Source organism: Homo sapiens, chromosome 22 (assembly GCF_000001405.40).
Source record: "Homo sapiens chromosome 22, GRCh38.p14 Primary Assembly".
Taxonomy (NCBI): domain Eukaryota; kingdom Metazoa; phylum Chordata; class Mammalia; order Primates; family Hominidae; genus Homo; species Homo sapiens.
The window spans coordinates 35,523,612-35,532,123 of record NC_000022.11 but is presented as its reverse complement, the minus strand read 5'-3'; positions in this window follow the sequence as shown (position 1 = coordinate 35,532,123).

Below are 8,512 nucleotides of genomic sequence, written 5' to 3'. Positions count from 1 at the left end.
CCCAGATTGGTTGGAAATCAGAGAGAGGGAATAGAATGCAAGATGAGGCTTGAGAAAAAAGCAGGGACCAGATGCACCTAGCACAGCACTTGGCACACAGTAGGCCCTCAATAAATGGGAGCTGCCTTCCCCTGAGGCCACAGCTGAACCCCAAGCCCCAGGTGCAGGCTGCTGATGATGGAGGACGGGAGTCTATTTCCTCTCTTGATCAGCATCCAGCATTTCTGCTAATGCCACATAATACAGTGGGCTCATTACCTCAGAGTGCTGAGCTGGGGAGACGGGGGCAGAGGTTTGCCAACTACCTCTGATCTGCCAGAAATAGAATCCAATGTTCCAGGATGCTAATGACTGTGGCCTTGGTGTATTTCTCTTTCCTTTTAGTGGTCTCCAGTTGATGGAGTTGTTTGATGAAGAGGAAAGCAGCATAGTAGAAGAGAGGCAGAGTCAGCCGCAGCAAACACTGGCTTAAGCCCTAAGCTGATGTATGATGAGTCTCACTCTAGGCACCAAGTGTGTGTCCATGAAGTTGTGCGTAGGTCAAACCTGTGTCATTCACATCTTACTTTTTTTCTAGGCTCCATGATCCCATCAACTTCCGACGGAAGTTTGTCTGCAAATGTGGCCACTGACGATGCCTCCCAAGAGATGGAGTTTATTTTCTCTGCACTGGAGTCTGAGATAATGCGGGACATGCTTTGACCAATAGAATGTGGCAAAAGTGAGGCTGTATCAATTCCAGGCCTGGGCCCCAAGAGGCCTGGAAGTGGCTGGGAGCAGTGGCTCATGCTTGTCATCCCAGTGCTTTGGGAGGCTGAGGTAGGAGATCGTTTAAGTCTATGAGTTTGACACCACCCTGGGCAATAAAACAAGACCCCATCTCTAAAAAAAATTTTTTTTTTAATTAACTGGTTGTGATAGTGTGTACCTGTAGTACTACCTACTCAGAAGGCTGAGGTGGGAGGATCACTTGCACCTAGGAGTTTGAGGCTGCAGTGAGCTATGATTGTATCACTGTACTCCAGCCTGGGCAACAGAGCTGAACCCCATCTCAAAAAAAGAAAAAAAAAGTGGGGGGTGCCTGGAAGCTTCTGCTTTCACTCTCAGAGTCCAGCCACCACCATGTAAGGAAGTTCAGGCTGTCCTGCCAGAGGGAAAGACCATGTGGCAAGAAAGGCCATGTGGAGAAGAACTGACCGCCCTTCTAGAACCTTCTGGCCACCAGCTGAATGCAGCTGCCTGCATGTCCAGCCATGATCACGTGGAGCAGGAGCCTTGCCCAGCTTACCACAGAATCATGGGAAATCATAAAAATATTGTTGTTTTACACCATCAAGTTTTGAAATGCCTGCCTAGTGCAGTGGCTCACGCCTGTAATCCCAGCATTTTGGGAGGCCGAGGTGGGTGGATCACCTGAGGTCAGGAGTTCAGGATTAGCCTGGCCAACATGGTGAAACCCCATCTCTACAAAAAATACAAAAATTAGCCAGGAGTGGTGGCGCATGCCTGTAGTCCCAGCTACTTGGGAGACTGAGGCAGGAGAATTGCTTGAACCTGGGAGGCGGAGGTTGCAGTGAGCCAAGATCATGCCATTACTCTGTAGCCTGGGCCACAGAGCGAGACTCCGTCTCCAAAAAAAAAGAAAAAAAAAACTTTTGGGATGCTTCGTTATATCACAAAAGATTACAGAGATAGATACTTTTGCTTTGTTTCTGTCTTGTAACCTTCAGTTTTGACCAAAACATCTGCGAAAGTACAGGTTCATGAAGTTCCAGGAAAAAACCGGCTTATTCTGGGTGAACCACAGACATCCAGGGAGTCATTTTTTCATCCACTTTTTGTTTTCTATCAAATATGCCTTGTCTCTGCTGTCTCAGCCTCGTTCCACCCCAGTAAGTCCTGTGATCTTTGTTAATCCCACTCCTCCCCCAGGATCCTGGCTCAATTTTGGAGAAAACGTACAAGGCCCATGAGTTTCTGACTCCCTTCCAGCATATTCTTAGCATGTGTCCTAAGCAGGGACTTTACGCCTTCTAGATCTTCCAGAAACTACAAGACACATGAATCATTCTCTTGCTGATATCAACCACCATTCATGACACAATGAAGGTGCAGTTGAGCTAAAAGGTTTACTGCCTGCTCTCTTGCAGGGCATGGGGTGGGAGGACACCTGCCCTGGGAGTCCCCAAGGAACCTGGAGGGCTCTCTGGCCCTCCCTGGGACTGGCACACTCCTGTAATCCTGAATTTGACCACTCCACAGATGTGCCTCCAGTAGAGGCAGAAGCCTGATGAGAGAGCAAGCACTGCCAGGCCTCAGATAGGGCACTCCAGTTCCAAAGACCCTGCTCCCAGTCTCCCAGCTGAGCTTCATTTGCAAACTGTTCCCTGCCTGGCTCAAACTCACACCCCAGCCCCATGAATACCTGCCTCATGGAATGTTTTGATGGATGAATGGATGGGTAGATAAACCTCATGAGTGAATGGTGGGACAACTGAAGAAATAAATGAAAAGGTAAATGAATGAATGGAGATCAAATGAGTGCTACCATTAATGATTTATAAAACTTGCAAGGTCAACAGGCCCTGCCTAGATCCAGATACACTTCAACCACAACTTCTGCCTCTCTGCCGAATGGTGGGGCCATCTCACTCTCTGAGAACCAAAACAAGTCTCCTAGCCACTTTCTCCGCTCCTTCTAAGGCTGCATCAATAAGGATTAGGATTAGTCAACTGCAAGTCACAGAAAACCCCAAATAAAAGTAGATTAAACCAATTTACTTTTCGCTCAGGTAAATTTCTCACTCAGCTAAATGAATTCTGAAGGTGAGATGACTTGTGCTTCACAGGGTCAGAGACCCAGGCTGCTTCTAGCTTTGTGTGCCAGAATTCTGGGGGTGTGGCCTCATCCTCACGGCCCAAGATGGCTGCTTAAGTCCACCCATCACTTCTCAATCCAGTGAGCAGAGGAAAGGGCAGCAGAGGGGACACCCTTTTTCTCTAAGGATACTTCCTGGAAATTGGCCAGAACTGAGTCACATAGCCACACTGGACTGCAAAGGAAGCTGGGAAATGTGGCCTTTACTCTAAGTGACCTCACACCCAGCTAAATTTAGGGTTCTGTTATTAAGGAAATAGAGTAGAATTTATACTAGCGGTCATCCAGTAGGCTCTGCCACACAACAGCTAAAGGAGCCATCTTATTGGGGGCCTACCTCAGCCCACATGCTGACCTGGTGCCCCTTTTTTGTTTTTGTTTGTTTGTTTGTTTTTCATTTGTGTGTGTGTGTGTGTGTGTGTGTGTGTGTTTGAGACAGAGTCTCACTCTGTCACCAGGCTGGAGTGCAGTGGTGCGATCTCAGCTCACTGCAACCTCCACCTCCTGGGTTCAAGTGATTCTCCTACCTTAGCATCCTGAGTAGCTGGGATTACAGGGGCCTGCCACCATGCCCCAATAATTTTTTGTATTTAGTAGAGACAGGTTTCTCCATGTTGGCCAGGCTGGTCTGGAACTCCTGCCCTCAGGTGATCCACCCTTCTAGGCCTCCCAAAGTGCTGGGATTACAGGTGTAAGCCACCATGCCCAGCCCTGGTGACCCATTTTTGTCTGTCTGCTATGAGCATCTTAGAGGCAGGAGATCAACGTAATCATGTGCGTATTCTCAGAATCCAGAGTAGGTTCTGGCACATAATAGGTGCTTATTCATTCAGTAAACAGAAACGTATTTAAGCACCTACTATGTGCTGGGCATGGATCTAGGTGCTGAGAATAGAATGGTGGACAACAGAGACAAAACCCTGCTCTCAAGGAGCTGATGTTCTAGAGGGAAGAGGTAATTAATCAAATAGCTATAAAACAGAATATAATACAGTAAATAGCATATAATAACAATATAAAGTCAGGGAGTGATTGGGTCTATGAAGAAAAATGGTGCAGGCTCAGGTGTGTGAGAGGGTAATGGGGGAGCTGTTGGGGACAGGTGGTCAGGGAGGTGACACTGAAACAGAGCGAAGCAAGGGCTGGGTCAGGTGGGCATGGCAGTAGGAAGAACATCCCAGGCAGAGGAACAGCAAGTGCAGATGCCCCAGAGGGCCTGTGCTTGGCGTGTTCAAGGAAAAGCAACAACACGCCTAAGAATGTGAGCTAGTCATGAAAGAAGTGAAAGAAAGAATGAATGGGCCCGGCACGGTGGCTCACGTCTATAATCCCAGCACTTCGGGAGGCCAAGGCGGGAGGATCACCTGAGGCTGGGAGTTCAAGACCAGCCTGGCCAACATGGAGAAACCCCGTCTCTCCTAAAAATACAAAGTTAGCCGGGCGTGGTGGTGCATGCCTGTAATCTCAGCTACTCGTGAGGCTGAGGCAAGAGAATTGCTTGAACCCGGGAGGTGGAGGTTGCGGTTAGTCGAGATCACACCATTGCACTCCAGTTCTGGGCAACGAGAGTGAAATTCTGTCTATATATATATATATATATATATAAAGAAGGAGAGAGAGAAAGAGGAAGGAAGGAAGGAAGGAAGGAAATATGTCATGGCAGAAACGATTCTGGCTACAAACTGGTAGGTGTGGGTTCAATAGTTCAAGCTCTGTCTTTAATTAACAGCGGGACCTTACTGAGCTTCAGTCTCCTCACCTGCAAAATCAACATAATACAAGCCCCATGCCTCCTGTGTTGTGCAAACCAAATGCAACAAGCACTGGGAATCGGATAAAGCAGAGTGTATTTGTGAACTCTATATTACCATGATTGTTACAAAGCCGTATTCAGACACCTCCTGCTCACAGTCAACCAGGTCACAGTTCCTTCTGACTCGGCTGTAATGACAGGCTGTCTTGGGGGACCCCCCTCACAGTGGAGGCCCCTGCCATCCCCTGCTGCTCCTCCATCCCTCTTTCCTCTGCCCCCCTCCCTCTTCTCCTGCCTTTTTCCAACATTTCCTGGTGCCTTCTGTGGGCCAGGCTTACAGAAGAAGCCGTAGGTCCGGAGACATGACACGAGGTCCCTGGTCTCCAAAACCCTGCGTATTTTGTGACAACAGATTCTGGTACATGCTTTCACAGCGGTCTGTGCAAGGCCCTTGGGGAGCACTGTGGAGGGAACACCCAAATCTGCTGGGAGGAGCAAGACCCAAGGCCAGCAAAGAGTGGGTAGAGCTCTGGGCTAGGAAGGGGTCTGAGTCCTTGTTCCAGCTCTGTCCACCACTCACTGTGTGACTGTAGGCAAGCCCCCAGCAATCTAGGCCTCAATTTCCTCACCTGTCAAAAGAGATGGTGATTCTATGCTCTTGCAACTAACTTATGCTGTGCTTCTGCCATCTCTTAGTGGGCCCAGCACTGCACTACCCGCTACAGGATATGAAAGAGAGAAGTGAAGACTTGGTTCCGTCCATTAAGAGATTCTGCAGTGAAGAAGTGTCAAGCCACAAACTCCGTTCAAAGGAGCAGTGATTGACTGATTCCCTTTTGGTGTCAGTGTTCAGCACAGCTGGGATGCCTTTCAGGGAATCTAAAAAGCCAATGGAGGCTTGGAGCGTTGACTACGGAGGCCTTTTCCAGTGCGGATTCCAGGGGCCTATGAACAGTTCTCGAGCTACCGAAGGTCAGATGCAGTAAGACATCCAGTTCAGAAGTCACAATCACAGGAAATTTAGGGGGCAGCAGCGCACGCAGCTGGGCTGGCTTGCTGGGGGAGATTTTCTGCAGGAGGGGGAGTTGGATGCAGGAAGAATGTTCCAGGCGGGAAAAACTTCCAGCAGTCCCAGGCCAACTCTGCACGTCAGGCAATCTGACTTTGGCCAAGTCACCAAATCCCCCCGCAAAGCCTTGATTTCTCCATCTGTAAAACAGGGCTGCTGAGAGATTGAGAGAGGGTACATAGGCCGGGAAGGTGGCTCACGTCTGTAATCCCAGCACTTTGGGAGGCCGAGGCGGGAAGATCACTTGAGCCCGGGAGTTCAAGATCAGCCTGAGCAGCATAGCGAGATCTCATCTCTACTAAAATTTTAAAAAATTAACCAGGCATGGTGGGGCGTGCCTGTAGTCCCACCTACTTGCAGGGCTGAGGCGGGAGGATCGCTTGAGCCTGGGAAGTTGAGGCTGCAGTGAGCCAAAATTGTGCCACTGCACTCTAGCCTTGGGTGACAGTGGAAGACTCTGTCTCAAATAAATAAATAAATAAATAAATAAATAAATAAATAAATAAAAAGAAAAGAAAAAGAGAGGGCATATAAGGTGTGCTAGAGCACAGTGCTGAGGACACAGCAGGCCCTCAGTCGCTGGCAGTTCCAGTTTTGTTTCCTGAAGGAGCTCACCCACTTCCCTCTGTCATGCACTCCTGGATCTCACCACCTAAGGGCAGAGAAGCCACCTGCTCATGGTCATCTGAACACCAGTCCCAGACTCGATTTCTCTCTCCATCTGGCCTGACAACCCCCCAGAATCACTCCTGGTTTTTCCCTTCCTCGTTTTCCCCTGGGGGCCTTTTAATTTCTTCCTCTGTATCATAAACACAAAACAAGTGTTTAAACATCTGACTCGAAGGCAATCTGGAAAGCAGAGCGACTCTTACATAAAGACCAGGCGAGGCCCACGCTTGCCAGGAGGGCCATCTGGATGCTCGCTCTGCCACCCTCCCGCCCTCCCTCTGCCTGGGAACCGCTGTTATTTCATAATTAAGGACAGTAACGAGGAGCTGGAGGGAGCAGCAGGGATGAAAAGCCTAATGCAGGCTCATCGCCCAGTGGCCCTGCCTTTGGTGGCCGCTGCTGCAATCCAGGGCTGACTCTCCTGCCCCACGACTTCCCTGCTCCTACCTGGGGTCCTGGCAGTGGAACAGGAGCCCCACTGTGGCAGAGGAGCTGGAGAAGAGGGAGGCAGCAAAACCTAGTGGTTACTCCCCCAGGAGCTGGGGACAGTCTGGGTGTGGACCTTTGCACCACCACTCCTACCTGTAACTGTAAGTAAATCACTGAGCCTTGCTGAACCTCAGTTTCCTCATCTGCACAATGGGAATAAAACTGATTTTGTCTTTTTTTTTTTTTTTTTTTGAGATGGAGACTCGCTTTTTCAACCAGGATGGAGTGAAGTGGTGCGATCTCAGCTCACCAACTGGGTTCAAGCAATTCTCCTGCCTCAGCCTCCAGAGTAGCTGGGATTACAGGCGACTGACACCACGCCTGGCTAATTTTTTGTATTTTTAGTAGAGATGGGGTTTCTCCATGTTGGTCAGGCTGATCTCGAACTCCTGACCTCAGATGATCCACCCGCCTCAGCCTCCCAAAGTGCTGGGATTATAGGCGTGAGCCACCGTGCCTGGCCACACTTTGTCGATCTGTTACCTCTGTTTATTGAGATCGTGCCTGCAAAGTGCTTAGCCTAGGACCTGCTCAAAATGAAAACAGAAGACATGGTTATTGGGGAGGGTCCTGGCTATGGCCAGCCTCAGTCTTCATGGCCACACTCCCAAAGAGAGTAGAATACAATAGGGAAACAGCATTAGGTTTTGCTGTACATGGTAAAAATTAAAACTTTGCCTAATATCAATATTAGGTAACTAATCTTTACACTAATCAGCTACTGTGTTCCTAGCTTACTATTCAATCTTGTTTTTTGGGGGTTTTTTTGTTTTTGTTTTTGTTTTTTGAGACAGAGTCTCGCTTTGTTGCCCAGACTGGAGTGCAGTGGCGTGACCTCAGCTCACTGAAACCTCCACCTCCCGGGTTCAAGCTATTCTCCTGCCTCAGCCCCCTAAGTAGCTGGGACTACAGGCGTGCACCACCATGCCTGGCTAATTTTTGTATTTTTAGTAGAGATGGGGTTTCACCGTGTAGGTCAGGCTGATCTCGAACTTCTGACCTTGTGATCTGCCTGCCTCAGCCTCCCAAAGTGCTGGGATTACAGGCGTGAGCCACCGCACCAGCCTTATTCAATCTTTAGCCAAATAAAAATAAATTTTTAAACAAAATTATCATTTAAACAGTGGTGTTAAAAACTGCAAGGCTGGCCTGGAGAAACATGTCATACCGCTAAGCTCGGTGAAGGCGAGACCTCTGTCTCCTCCAGCTGTGCTGTGAGCATGGGGTCAAGGAGATTTGACGCCTCCTTGCTCAGTCTTTAATGCCGGTGACACTTCTTTTTTCACTTCTTGGGGACATCTAATACCCGCCCTCTCCTCCTCTCAGGATCCTGGTGAGACCGATGCAGAAAATGAAGATGTGAGCAGCATCTGGAGAAGTACGACATGTTATGCAAATGCAAGCTGTTTTTAATCCGTGATGATTTATATTACTCAGACAGTGTTAACATAATCCTAGCTTGGAGGTATCAAAACGGCCCACATCTAGTTTGTAAACACATCACGTGCACGTGTGTGCACACACAATCCACACAAAGGGAGCCTGCCAGGTGCTGGTAGCAGTGAGTTCTGCCTGGGGTTATTAGGAGAAGGCTTCACAGGATACTGAATCTCGTGGTGAGCCTAGGAGGAGAAATCTTGCAGGGAACAGTCCT